We start from the raw sequence: 14,570 nt of genomic DNA on the forward strand, positions 1-14,570 counted from the left end.
CATGCCCCCACATCCCCATGCCCCCACATCCCCACGCCCCAGCCGGCACTCACAGAAAGGCTGCTGCTCCTGGCTCAGCACCTGGATATCCATGCTGAGTAGAGGGCGCTCAAGATCTCGTTCCTCTTCCCCGCAGTGTTCCTGTTGCAGGCATGGATGGAGCACGTCAGCCAGTCCATCCAGTGCAGAGTGTCCCCGGAGAGTGTCAGGGTGAAGGGGTGCGTCAGGCTGCCCTTCACCACCTTCTGCCTGCAGTCAGGGAGGCGGGGTAGAGAGCCATCAGGAGGGTCCCCCAACAGTCATTGCTGCTGACGCATTTACTTTCTTTTTTTTTTTTTGAGATGGAGTCTTGGTCTGTCGCCCAGGCTGGAGTGCAGTAATGCAATCTCAGCTCACTGCAAGCTCCACCTCCCGGGTTCAAGCAATTCTCTTGCCTCAGCCTCCCGAGTAGCTGGGATTACAGATGCCCACCACCATGCCCAGCTGATTTTTGTATTTTTAGTAGAGACAGTGTTTCATCATGTTGGCCAGGCTGGTCTCAAACTCCTGACCTCAGGTGATCCGCCTGCCTCAGCCTCTCAAAGTGCTGGGATTACAGGCATGTGCCACCACTCCCGGCCTCCCATTTACTTTCAACCAGACAAGTGAGGCCAGGTCAAGAGCCCCAGGAGTTGGCGCCCTCGTACATCTCTCCTGGCGTGCACAGGGCGCCTCCCAAACCCAGTCTGTGACAGTGACACATGGAGTCCCCCAGGTCAAGTGGCAAAGTCTCCCCCAGGGAAGAAAGGAGGAAGCCCCACCTGGTGAAAAGGACACCTCTCCTGCCCAAGGCTTAAACCTCTGAATACAAATCAGGCCACGTGCACTTGCTCCTTCTTACAATGCTCATAATTTATATTTTCAGAGTAAATTAAACGTGGCATCAACACGAGAAACAGCTATTCTTTTCTAGGTGCCTACAGTGCCCAGCAAAGGAGGACTCGGGTATAATGAGATTATGGACACTGGTAACAGGATCGTAATGTGACATGGTCAGTAATGTGTAGTTTTATTTGCTTAATGACCCTCTCCCCGTGACAGGCTCCCTGAGGGTGGGCCTGGGGGCAGATGGTCCCTGCCACATCCCCAGCCCTCAGCACAGCTGCCAGGAGAAGGTGACGCTCATGAAGTGGCACAGGGGAGATGGAAGCTGTGGGCTTGTGCTCTGCAGATCCACCACCTCTTTTGTTCGTTTTTGTTGATGCTGTTTTTAAGAAAATTATTGAAGTAAAATTCACAGGACATAACATTTATCGCTGTTTTTTTTTTTTTTTTTTTTTTGAGATAGGGTCTCAGTCTGTCACCCAGGTTGGAGTACAGTGGGGTGATCTCAGCTCCCTGCTCTCTGCCTCCCAGGTTCAACTGATTCTCCCACCTCAGCCTCCAGAGCAGCTGGGACCACAGGCATGCACCACTATGCCCAGCTAATTTTTGGTGGGTATTTTTTGGTAGAGACGGGGTTTCACCATGTTGCCCAGGCTGGTCTCGAACTCCTGAGCTCAGGCGATCCACCCGCCTCGGCCTCCCAAAGTGCTGGGATTACAGGCATGAGCCACCGTGCCCAGCGTAAGTTTACCACTTTAAAGTGAGTAATTCAGAGCTATCTAGCACATTTGCAAGGCTGTGCAACCTCCACTTCTGTCTAGTTCCAAAGCCCTTCCATTGCCCCACAGGAAAACCCCACGCCCACCAACAGTCACTCCCCGGCCCACACCCCCAGCGCCGGCAAACACTGATCTGCTTTCGACAGCTCTGTCTAACACATTCTAAACATTTCACATAAATGGAATCACAACATGCAGCCTTTGATGTCTGGCTTCTTTGACTCAGCACCATGTTTTTTGAGGTTCATCCATGCTGTACGTGTTAGTGCTTCATTCTGTTCTAGGGGTGAACCATATTCCAATGCACAGATAGAACAGTCTGTGCATCCATTCACCTGCTGGGAACCTCTGGGTCGTTTCCACCTTCGGCTGTTGTGCACAGTGCTGCTATAGACATTCCTGTCCGTTCACATTTTGTGTGAATACCTGTTTCAATTCTTACAGTATATAGTTAGGAGCGGAATTGCTGGGTCATACGTAAATCAATGTTTACATCCTAAGGAATCACCAAACTGTTTTCCACAATGTTGCCTTTTTTGTCTGTTTGTTTGTTTTCTGAGACAGGGTCTTGCTCTGTCACCCAGGCTGGAGTGCAGTGGCATGATCACGGCTCACTGCAGCCTTGATCACCTAAGCTCAATCAATCCTCCTGCCTCAGCCTCCTGAGTAGCTGGGAACACAGGTGTGCACCACCATGGCCAGCTAATTTTTTAATTTTAATTTTTTATTTATTTATTTTTTTGAGATGGAGTTTTGCTCTTGTCACCCAGGCTGGAGTGCAATGGTGCGACCTCAGCTCACTGCAATCTTCATCTCCCAGGTTCAAGCAGTTCTCCTGCCTCAACCTCCTGAGTAGCTGGGATTACAGGTGCCCACCACCACACCCAGCTAATTTTTGTATTTTTAGTAGCAGCAGGGTTTCACCATGTTGGCCAGGCTTGTCTTGAACTCCTGACCCTCAGGTGATCCACCCACCTCAGCCTCTCAAACTGCTGGGATTACAGGCATAAGCCACTGCACCCGGCCCAATTTTTATTTTTAGTAGATGGGCTCTCACTTTGTTGCCAGGTTGGTCTTGAACTCCTGGGCTCATATGATCCTCTCACCTCAGCCTTCCAAAGCCTGGGATTATAGGTGTGAACCACTGTGCCTGGCCATGTTGCCATTTTTTGATGAGAAAAGCCAGAGGCCCATCACTCCCGGTTGCTTTCCGGGCCATGCTCTGCCTCAACCAGAAGCACTAAGGGAAGGTCAGCCTTGGCCCTTGCCCGAGCCACAGTCACAGATAAAGGGGCCTACACAAGTCTGTGCGGCTTCAGAGCTTGTCCCCCCGCACATGATGGTTCCACGTGAGTAGCCCTGGGTGCATTCATGAAGAGAAATGGCTGCTGCAGAGGCAGAAGAATCCCAGGGGGAGGCAGGTAGGAGAGAAGCTGAGAACAGACCCTGGGGCTAGAGACCCTACATTCCAACCCTGGCTGTGACTCGCTGTGTGGCTTTGGGCAAATTCACATGCCTGCCTCTCTGTGCACAGGGCATCATAATAGCAAACACAGGCCGGGTGCAGTGGCTCGCACCTGTAATCCCAGTGCTTTGAGAGGCCAAAGCGGATACATGGCTTGAGCTAAGGAGTTTGAGGCCAGCCTGGGCAACATGGTGAAACCCCATCTCTACAAAAAAATACCAAAAAAATTAGCCACGCTTGGTGGTGCATGCCTGTGGTCTCAGCTACTTAGGAGGCTGAGGTGGGAGGACCACTTGAGCCTAAGAAGTCAAGGCTGCGGCCAGGCCTGGTGGCTCATGCCCGTAATCCCAGCACTTTGGGAGGTTGAGGTGGGAGGATCACTTGAGGTCAGGAGTTCGAGACCAGCCTGGCCAACATGGTGAAACCCCGTCTCTACTAAAAAAATACAAAAATCCTGTAATCCCAGCTACTTGGGAGGCTGAGGCAGGAGAATCGCTGGAACCCAGGAGGTGGAGGTTGTGGTGAGCTGAGATTGTGCCACTGTACTCCAGCCTGCAGGACAGAGCAAGACTGCATCTCAAACAAAACCAACCAAACAAAAAAAGAGGTCACAGCTGCAGTGAACTAAGATCATGCCAATGCAGTCCCGCCTCGGTGACAAAGTGAGACCCTGCCTCAAAAAAATATAAATATAACATAACAGCAAACATTTCATAGAGCTGGTGTGAGCATTAAATGAACTGATAAATGTCCCTGGAAAACAGTAAATTGCTGCGCCACCACCATTAGCATGTTTCAATTGCCATCACCCTCACTGTCTCCTGTTACCATCCTTTGACCAGGGCACTCCCAGCTGCAGCCTTTCTATCCTCTAATCCACCCTTCATAACTGTAAGATCATTCAGCTCCCAAGAACCACAGTCTACAGGGTAGCCACATTTCCAAATCTCAAACCAGACCCAGCCAGTCTGCACTTCCAGGACAACGGGATATTTTCAAACCAGCCCAAAAGAGATGTGTGGCTCAGCATAAGAGGAACAGGAGAAACCGAGGCCTCTTGCCATGAGAATGAGCTTGGAAGTGGATCTCCCAGCCTCACTCAAACGTTCAGATGACTAAGGCCCCAGCCAGGAGCTTGAATGTGTCCTCAGATCACACCCTGAGCCAGAACCACCCAGCTAATCCACTCCTCATTGCTGACCCCCTCCCCCCCCGTAAAAAACCTGTTTGCTGTTTCAGGCTGCTAAGTTGTGGGCTGTTTTGTTACACAGCAATGGATAACTAACACATGAGGCCTGGCGAGCACAGAGCAAAGCTGCCCAGGCCCTCAAGTCTGTTCATGTGGGTGTTGGCCTGTGTTTGCAGAAATCCAGCCACTGGGTCCTCCCATGCAGTCACTACTGCTCTTTGCATCGACACCCGCCACACCCCCTGCCTAGGCCAGGAGCTCCACTAGTGCAGGAATGGGGTGTGCCATCCCAGGAGGATCCCTGACACCTGGCACAGAGCCAGCAGCAGGCAGTACTTGGTCAGTGAATAAATTGCCCTTCACCTGTACATGGAGGGGATGTTTTTCTAAGGTGTAATTAAGTATGGGGCTGTGAAGCTATGCTGACCAGAAGGCTCTAAAAGCAATTACCCACCAAGGGGAAAACCTTCCTACTCATTCATTTGGCCCACTTTATTGAGGACTATGTGGAAGGCCCCCTGGTGAGACTGGGGAATGCAGCAATAACTGAGACAGCTTCCGGCTGCTGCCCTCAGGATGCCTGAGCTGGGGTAGGGCCAGGGTGGGGGTGGTGGTGTGACAGGGTTATTGTTCACAACCCCCTCGGGCCACAAGCCCTCCCCAACAATTCCAAAATCCAAGACACTCTGGAGACGGAAAGCTTTTGTTGCTCATTTGGCGATAAAACCTCATTTGGTGCATGGGCCGGGGGCAGTGGCTCACGCCTGCAATCCCAGCACTCTGGGATCCGAGGGGGAGGATCGCTTGAGTTTAGGAGTTTTGTGACCAGCCTGAGCAACATGTGAGACCCCCATCTCTACCAAAAATACGAACATTAGCTGGGTGTGGTGGTGCACTCCTGTAGTTCCAGCTACTTGGGAGGCTGAGGTGGGAGAATCGCTTGAGCCTGGGAGGTGAAGGCTGCAGTGAGCTGAGACGATGCCATTGCACTCCAGCCTGAGTGAAACAGTGAGACTCTGCCTCAAAAAAACAAAATAATGAAAAAGAAAACAACAACTGTGCATAGGTATGGGCTACAGACAGTCTTTTCTGCCCTACTTAGAATGAACATGCCACATTTGCTATAGAAATATACAGGTGCTGGGGCAAGTGTCACCCAGCCCCTGACACTGTTTCAAGTTCTGAGAAGTCATGCATTTCTCAGGTCCCCAGAGTTTCAGAGAAGAGTCTGTTGGCCTGAGTTAAGAAGGAACGCCTTCAAAAGCACTGGGGACACCTGGGGGCAAAGGGGAAGGGGGTGCCCCGGGACTGGGCGGGTACCTACCGGAACGAGCCGTCCAGGTTGGCACGGTGGATGAAGCCGAGCTTAGTGTCAGCCCAGTAGAGCTTCTTCTCCCCCAGGTCGATGGTCAGTCTATTGGGCCAGTAAATGTCCAAGTCCACAATGATCTTCTGGGTGCTGTCGTCCATCCCCACCTGCTCGATCCAGGGCGTCTCACCCCAATCTGCCCAGTACATGTACCTGTGACGGGGGCAGGGCAAGAGGAGAAGCAGCTAACACAGATCTGTTTTTTTGTTTTTGTCCACACAGATGCAGACATGAAACAATAGACAGTGAACTTGCCCTAAAATCTCACCCATCAGAAGTAACCAACAGGTAAGGTTTCAGGTATTCCTGCCTTAAATTGGGCAATCAAAATATACTATTTCCAACTTGTTCTCAGTTAACAGTAAATTCTGGGCACCTTCCCTTCTCGTGAATAGAAAGATTCCCTGTTCTTTTGATGACTGCATAGTGCACTGTGCTGTAAGTTCTTTAAATAACTTCGGGTTATTTCTGATTTTTTTGCTACCATGAAAATGCTGTAAATGAACCTCTAAAAGGCAATTCAAAACATGCAGGATAGAGTATTATTTAGTGCTAAAAAGAAATGACCTATTGGCTGGGTGGGGTGGCACACGCCTGTTATCCCAGCACTCTGGGGGGCCGAGGCGGGCGGATCACGAGGTCAGGATATCGAGACCATCCTCGCTAACACGGTGAAACCCCATCTCTACTAAAAATACAAAAAATTAGCTGGGTTTGGTGGCGGGCACCTGTTATCCCAGCTACTCGGGAGGCTGAGGCAGGAGAATCATTTGAACCCAGGAAGAGGAGGTTGCAGTGAGTGGAGATCGCACCATTGCTCTCCAGCCTGGGCGACAGAGTGAGCCTCCGTCTCAAAAAAAAAAAAAGAAAAGAAAAAGAAAAAAGAAAAGAAAGAAGGAAAAGAAATGATCTATCAAGCCATGAAAAGACATGGAGGAAACTTAAATGCATATTAGTAGGTGAGAGAGCCAATGTGAAAAGGCTACATACTGTATGAGTCCAACTCTATGACATTCTGGAAAAAGCAAATAAGACAGTAAAGCGTCAGTGGCTGCCAGGGGTTTGAGGAGAGGAGAGGGATGAATGAGTGGTGCACAGAAAATCAGGGCAGTGGAACTATCCTGTATGACACGTAACGGTGGGTATATGTCCTTATTCATCTGTCTAAACCCAAGTGCCAAACACCTCCCAACCAAGTACCGATTACCTCCCAAGCACCTAGCACCTCCCAGCTGAGCATCATGCACCTCCCAACAGCACACCTAGCACACCGAGGCACAGAGCAGCACCATGCCATCCTTGTCTCGTCTTTCTATCGAACCCACATGCAGAGTGCCTGCAAGTCAAGCTGGCTTTCCCTTCAGAACAGATCCCGTATCTTGCCACTTGTCACCCCCAGAAGTGAGGGGTCCCCGCTGCTGCCTTCTGTTGCAAGGATCCCGGTAATAACTGTGGACAGGGCTCCTGCCCCCATGCCAACCACCTCACATACCTGCTCACATAGGCACATACATGTGCACAGCTCTTGCTCCAACCAGCAGGGGATGCCCTCCAGCACGAGTCAGACGTGGCACCTCCTCTGCTCAAGACCAATTCGTCCTCTCCCCACACCTTGGGCCCTGTTCCCCTACATTCTGCTGCAGCCCCTCAAATAAGCCCCACCCCAAACTAGCCCAGGGCCTTTGCACTGGCTGATCCCTCTGCCTGGACCGCACTTTCCCCAGATAGCCACATGGTTCTCAGCCTCATCTGCTTCCAGTCTCGGCTCAAAAGTCACCAAGAGGCATTCCCGGCACCTGAGCTCCGATGGAAGCCCCTCGCCACAGCCTCCAGGCACTGCTTTATCCCCCCACGCACACGTCCCTCTTGAATACTATTTATTTACCATCTCCTCCCACCCACTGAAAGGGCCAGAGACTGGGCTATACCAGCTGTGTGGGGTGCACAAGGGCTCACAAATGTGGCTGGATGCCTGGTTGGGAGGTGAGGGAGCTGCAGGGACCCATGCTGGGAGGGAAGGCGAGGATGGGAGGAGCACAGGTCCCAGCGACACGATGACCGCGGCAGCCGCTGGTAAGCGACCGCAGGCCGGCCCTGGGAGAGGGCTCCCAGCAGGCTGCTATCTTCGGCCTCTCCCACTGCTGCAGATGCCCCCTCCTAGCCAGAGAGACACCAGCTGACCCTTCCAGAAAGAAGGTCAGTAACCCCACAGCTCCTGGAGCCACAGGGCAGAGGGAGAGGGCTGAGAGGGTCACGGTTCACCAGGCAGAACAGAGGCCACCCGGGAGGTCAGCTGGCTCCCAGGCAGCTGCGGGTGAACAGCCCACTCAGAGGGCAACAAGGGCATGAGAGGGGCTCCAGGGATGAGTGGCTGCCCAGCATGGCACCCCTGGGAGGCCGGGGGCACTTCTCAGGTGGTGAGAACATGAGGCTGCTCTGGCCTGACCTCAGGGACTCAAAATACTTGGGCGATACATTCTACCGCATCCCACCCCTGCAGGTACCCCGTACTTACACACACACTGGTTCAGATGCAGACACTCTTGCGCACATACCCACTCACATGGGCACATACATGTGCACACATAATCACATGCACACACGCATACAAATATCCGCTCACATGCACACACGCAGGCGTGCGCACGCACACACAGGCTCACATCCTCCCACTCCCACACTCAGTTGCTCAGACACACACACACCTGGCTCTCACACAAACCCGCCGGGCTCTGAAACGCTCCAGCCCTTCCTGTGCTTGTCAGAAGCCAGTCGAGGGCTTCCTAAGTCGCCGCACAGAGCAAAGAGGTGAACTCAGCCACCATGGCACTCTGCTTCCCGAGCTCCCAAACACCGGCCTTGGTGAGGACAGACCCTCACCCCGCACTCTCATTCCCACTACCCTGGGCAGGCCCAGATGAGGGGCATCTGCAGGGTCTGGCAACCAACCCCTCCCAGCCTGGCTCCTGCAGCCAGCGCCGTGGGAGTCGGGGGAGGTGACTGCGCAGGGCAACAGCAAGTTGGTGGCCCCAGGACTAGGGCCCAGGGGTCTTCAGTCCTACTCCAGAGCTTGGGCAGTATCCCACAGGGCATGGCCAAGGGAAGGGCTTCCAGAGCCCTGACTTCAGGGAGGAGGGCGGGTGGGCTCCTGTGGCAGACCTGAGTGCCCAGCCGCCCACTTCTGGGACTTTCTAACTTAGAAGATCTAGGTCAGGCTGGGTGCAGTGGCTCACACTTGTAATCTCAGCACTTTGGGAGGCCGAGGCCGGTGGATCATTTGAGGTTAGGAGTTTGAGACCAGCCTGGCCAACATGGTGAAACCCCATCTCTACTAAAAATATAAAAATTAGCCAGGCATGGTGGCAGGCACCTGTAATGCCAGCTACTCCAGAGGCTGAAACAGGAGAATCCCTTGAACCGGGGAAATGGAGGTTGCAGTGAGCTAAGATCGCGCCACTGCACTCCAGTCTGGGTGACAGAACGAAGCTCCGTCTCAAAAAATTAGCCGGGCGCAGTGGTGGGCGCCTGTAATCCCAGCTACTTGGGAGGCTGAGCAGGAGAATCACTTGAACCCCGGAGGCGGAGGTTGCAGTGAGCCGAGATGGTGCCACTGCGCTCCAGCTTGCATGACAGAAGGGAGACTCTGCCTCAAAAAAAAAAAAAAAAAAAAAAAAAGCCCAGGCATGGTGTCTCACACCTGTAATGCCAACACTTTGGGAGGCCAAGGCGAGTGGATCACCTGAGGTCAGGAGTTTGAAAGCAGCCTGGGCAACATGGTGAAACCCCGTCTCTACTAAAAATACAAAAATTAGCCAGGTGTGGTGGCACATGCCTGTAATCCCAGCTACTCGGGAGGCTGAGGCAGGAGAATCACTTGAACCTCGGAGGCAGAGGCTGCTGTGAGCCAAGATCACACCACTACACTCTAGCCTAGGCGACAGAGCAGGACTCTGTCCCAAACCAACTTGGATTATGAAAAGCTTTTCTTAGGATCCCAAGAGTGGAGGAGCTCAGGGGCAGACAAAACGGAGGCTGGCTGCAGAAGGTGGAGAGTGGGACCTTCGGGGGTAGGTGGGGAGAGAGAAAGCCTGGAGCTGCACCCCCAAGGTCTGTGCATGTCACATGCTGCAGAATAACACCACTTCTTCCAGCTTGGCCCCCACCTGCCCTCTCCCAGCCCAGCCACCCAGACAGCACCCCACTCCCCACACACACCTTACATCTCCCCACCTCACACTCACCAGCTCAGGCTCCCAATGCAAACTGGAACCTGCCCTTGGCCTCTCAGCTCAGCCACCCCCATTCCTGTTGGCCCCTGGCCCCCCATCCAACTCTCTCTCATCTTAACACACACATTCACACACTCAAACTCACATACACACACACACACATACATACACACACACACACACACACACACACACACACACACACACACAGCCCGGAGGAAAACCATAATTAACTGAAGTCCAGGCAAGTTTCCCGAGCAGGGACCACATTTCAAAGGTGAGGGAAGCAGGCGAACAGGAAACATACTGGGGGCACGCTTGGGGGTGAAGCAGGAAATAAGAAATCACTCGCAAAAGATAAAAAGAAAAGAGGTAGCTGGTTTTAGACACCTCTGAGCACACAGAACAGGACAGGTGCCTCCTGGTCTTCACTCAACAGGGAGATGGGCCAGACAGGTCCCTGGTGCTCCACTGCAGAGCTGGGGGCCATGGCCCTGACACCAAGGCCCTGGGGCAGGCGGGGAGGCAGCTGTTCTCCTGCCTGTGCTCTGGGCACGGCCCAGCCCCACAAGGGAACTGGCCCAGGGCTCTGCCTGGCTACTCTGGGAAGTCCTGGGAGACAAGCAAAGGACTTGCTGGGTCACTCCAAATGGCCCAGATGTGTTGGTGACATCAGGTATCAGGTTAGGCACAACTCCGCTTACCCGGCCTCATCTGTAACCTGCCCTCTCTTCCCAACCAGTAAAGGATGCCTAGGTAGAGGGGGACAAGGCCTGGAGCATAATTACCATTATAAAGGCTCTGAGAAGTCCTGCAGTGAGGAAACCTAGTTCACTTTCTCTCCCCCAGGATTTCCCAACTGCACCTGATCACAGAACATTTTTTCGTTTCAACTCAGGAAACACATTTTGAAAAACACTGGCCTAGAGGCAGAAGTGAAATGGAAAACACCAAAGTAAAACTGAAGAGGAGGCGCTGGGCAGAGAACGGTCGGAGGCGCCCTGAATCCTGGACCTGTGGAGATCCCCAGCTCTGCATGCTTCCCTCCCTGGGCCCAGACCGCCTCCCCCATTTCCTGGATAAGAAGGCTAATGCGCACCAGGGTGAAGGGCTTGCCTGGGCCACACTCCCGGGCTCACCCCACACCAATCATGCTCCTGCGAGAGCCAGTGACTTTCTTGATTTGGCTACTGTGGAATTGCTTTCAACTAACCACCCCAGATACAAATGACAAATGACCGGATATAAAGGACCCATGGGTCTCTGTGATACGGCTTCATGCAGCCAGCACAGCTACTAACATGCAGAACGAGAATGACCCCAGGCAAGTCCTCGCCTCCCAGACCCAGAACCCCACGGAGCCCACCAGGGCTGGTTCACAAGCACTGTCTGGGTCAGGCAGAGATTCCAGCAAAGGGAGGAAACATTCGTGCACTGGAGCCAGTTACCAGAAGCAAATCGCCTTTTCCAAAACCCAGGCTGTTAATGGAGTCCACTGATGACCAGAGTCAGGGTCTAGCTATGGAATACTGCACAGCAGAGATCTTCCTGAGAGAAAGTGTTTCTCCCTGAAAGCCACGTGTCCTCTACAATGTTTTAATTGGGCGAACATCTATATCTCATTGCAGTGGCCATGCACGTGCTGACAAGGGGCTGGGGGCAGGGTAGGGAGCAGAAGCTCAGGGGCCTGGTAGGGAAGGAAACAGGCCACCAGGGCTCCCCAGAAGGCATGTGTCTCTCTCGCTAACACACACATATACACACACACGTGCACACACATTCTGCAAGCCCTGAGTTAGCAACTGCGGAATGTGACCAGGTCAGTGATCCCAGGACAAGCTGCTAGGGAATATGACATTTGATTGATGTCTGCAAATGTGCATTTTCATTAATTAGAAGTTTTAGGGCAGAGCAGAGAAAAATATGTATTTCAGGGTCCCAGTTTGACCTGCCAGAAACAAGCCTGTTACTGACATTCTTATTTTCAACAAAATACAGCATTCTGATTATATACCATCTTGGTTCCACGCCTCCTGCCTTGCCAAGCCCCCGGAAGTGGCCCAAGGCCATGGCAAAGAGTGAAAGAAACAGTCCTGGGGTGGAGACTGACTCAGGGGTGTCAGTCAGTGGGGGACTGATGGCTGGTGGGAGGCCAGCAGTGATCATCCTCTCCTTGGGACAGTTAGGTAGCGCTCCCCCAGGGTCACGTGGCCACTCAGGTTTGTATGGGAGGCGACAGGAGTGGCAGACCCCAGGAGAGTGGCTCCGATGTCACAGTCCCCTCCAGGCCTCAGTGTCCTCACCCATTAATGAGCAGGCTGAGGTCTGGGATGACAAGGAGGGCTTGCACTTACTGAAACGCACAGGAGGCTGTTCGCTGATTTCTTTTATTGATGGAAGAAAACACTTTTATACGTAGCAATTAAGAGGCAGGCACTGGAACCACCGTCTGCCGATTCCTAGTTTTGCCTGCATGAAATTGAGCAAGTTAATTGACCTCCCCCAGCCTCAGTTTCTTCATCTATAAAATGAGGGTAGTGATGGCCCCCAGCTCACAGGGCAACTGGAAGGATTAAAAAAATCAAACATCTCTTAGAGCCCGCCTAGCACACTGTGATACACTACAAATGTTAGCTATTTTTATCTATGAAGTCTAGATTTTATATCTTGGGCGTTCTAAAGCAGGATATATTTATTTAAAAACAAGGATTTTCATTAAACACATACCCCACAGAAAGCAACCCCATGGAGACTGCTCTTAATTCAGGCCAGTATCGAAACGACCCTAACTACAAACTTTATACAGGTGTCTTGGCTGTCCTTCAAATCCAACTAAGGTGGTACTTCTCAAGTACTGTGCACATGTGTGTGTGCATGCACACGTGTGGGAAGGCGGGGCTCACAGATCCCTCAAGTACCCCATCCCCGCAGTCTCAAGTCACGAAGCGACAGACGGAGCAGCCAAGGAAGGTCTGTGCCCCGCTGGACTCTGGTGAAGCCGTCAACTCTACCTCTGCGCCATGTCCTGCAGACTGGGCTACCTTTTGGGTGGGGACCAGCATTTGATGCAAGAGAGACAGATGGAAAAGGAAAAGGGTGAGTTCGACTCCAGGTAATGAAGATAGTACCAAGTCCCAGAGTCCACAAATGCCATGCAGATGGAAGCACTTACTGCAAGGCCACACGGCAAACTCAAGGATCCAGGGACAGAGGTACAGACTGCAGTGCCCCGAGCCACGACCCTGCAAATTACCACCATGGGAAAGGAGGCTGACAAACCCCTGACAGTCGGCTGGGCTGGCAAAGACTTGTGGTTTCCATCAAGGTGGGAGGAGGTGGGACCTCCTAGCCCCTCCCCAATGCCCATAGCAGAGGGAAGTGGCCACTTCCCCTGTGTGGTTACAAAGATCTCATTATTCTTCCCCACAGAGAGGAAACTGGAGGACTGAGCTCAGAATGCATTTTGGAATTGGCAGAAAAGAACATCTGGGGAAGGAAACACATTTCAGAAACAAACATACCTTTGTACCAGCTTTTATTTAAGTGTTGGAAAAATAATAATAAAGACATGCCGAATTTATCATCACTCTACAAAATCCCTCTATTGAGCAAAATGTGGCAGCTCTGCTTTCAAATGATCTACTGTTCCTGGAGAATTGCAGTGACGTGGATGCCAAGGCGCGAAGGCCGCCGTCAGCAGCCAAACAAAAGATGCCACCTTGGGCTCCATGACACTGTCCCATGCCAGGGAACTGGACAGATTTGGGGAATGCCACGGTTTGCCTTTAACCCCTTGCCTCCTGGTCCCTTGATGCATCTCAGAGGCTAACATTCTTTAAGGAACTGGCATTTCTTAGTTCTAAATATGTATGTGGGTTTGGGAGCTGCCTGCAAAGTCCAGTGTTGAGGATCAGCTCTGATTGCCTTGGAATCAAGCTTAAGTGTCGGGTCTTGAAGTTAATCGGAATTTGGAGAAGCTGAGCACTATGGTTTTGTAGGTCCTGGGTGAACTCTTCCACCAAGCATTCACCGTGGACTGACAGCGTGCGAGGGCCTCTGCAGGCAGGTGCATAGGACGAAGCAGATTCCCTCCGGGGGAAACCTGGAGGGAAGCTCCGTTTTTTTCCTAAGGCGCCAGGCCTGGCTTCATGGGTCCGTACCTTCCATGCCTGCCACACTTTCTGAGTCTCGTGTGGGAGCTGCTCCTGGTTCCTGACTTCACTCAGTCCTCATAAGAGGTGTAACTACTGTCACTCCATTTTACAGATGGGGAGACTGGGGCATAAGGGGACCAAGAAACTGACGCAAAGTCACACTTGGCTGATCAGTGACAGGGGAGATCAATTCCCAGGTTCTTTCTGCAAGAGTTAAATTGTTTTCATGCTGCCTAAGGGGGTGGGGAGGGGCAACTGAAAGACCCCTTGATATCTTTGCAAAAAGGGTCAAGCACAGAAGCTGCAGCCAGTGGGTCAGATCTGCGGAAGCGCTGGGGTGACCCTCCCTACACCCAGAGGGATGCTTGTCCCCTCCTGGCCTTCACTGGGTCCCCTCAGGACCATGGCCTCCCAGGACCTCAGCATAATCCTGGTCCTGTGCTCCAGGACAAGCCCTCTGTCCCCAGGATGATGAGGAAATGGAACCAAGAGAGGCTCGCTGCAGCCCAACACCCACTCTG

At 52.5% G+C, this 14,570-nt stretch overlaps 1 pseudogene across 9 annotated transcripts in view, besides 2 other annotated features; it reads right to left on the reverse strand.

Annotated features, from left to right (window-relative positions):
- Window positions 1-14,570, reverse strand: part of LRP5L (LDL receptor related protein 5 like (pseudogene)) — a 53,991-nt pseudogene that overhangs the window by 24,342 nt on the left and 15,079 nt on the right. For 7 of the 9 annotated variants that reach the window (XR_005228030.2, XR_007068026.1, XR_007068032.1 and 4 more), the window contains exons 2-3: window positions 5,622-5,819; window positions 54-249 (exon numbers count right to left, since the gene is read on the reverse strand). The product of XR_005228030.2 is annotated as an LDL receptor related protein 5 like (pseudogene), transcript variant X8 (transcript). Of the gene's footprint in view, window positions 1-53; window positions 250-5,621; window positions 6,279-14,570 lie in introns of those variants that run through there. The other 2 variants (XR_007068029.1, XR_007068031.1) reach the window with 1 other exon arrangement.
- Window positions 7,575-8,081: an enhancer, noted in NCBI's record as "H3K27ac-H3K4me1 hESC enhancer chr22:25779301-25779807 (GRCh37/hg19 assembly coordinates)". NCBI's record gives its function as "activates a minimal SCP1, AML or CMV promoter by ChIP-STARR-seq in naive H9 embryonic stem cells {active_cell/tissue: H9 hESC(naive)}" and the evidence as "EXISTENCE:reporter gene assay evidence [ECO:0000049][PMID:30033119]".
- Window positions 9,938-10,914: an enhancer, noted in NCBI's record as "H3K27ac-H3K4me1 hESC enhancer chr22:25781664-25782640 (GRCh37/hg19 assembly coordinates)". NCBI's record gives its function as "activates a minimal SCP1, AML or CMV promoter by ChIP-STARR-seq in primed H9 embryonic stem cells {active_cell/tissue: H9 hESC(primed)}" and the evidence as "EXISTENCE:reporter gene assay evidence [ECO:0000049][PMID:30033119]".

The sequence above is a fragment of the Homo sapiens genome, chromosome 22, assembly GCF_000001405.40.
Source record: "Homo sapiens chromosome 22, GRCh38.p14 Primary Assembly".
Lineage (NCBI taxonomy): Eukaryota > Metazoa > Chordata > Mammalia > Primates > Hominidae > Homo > Homo sapiens.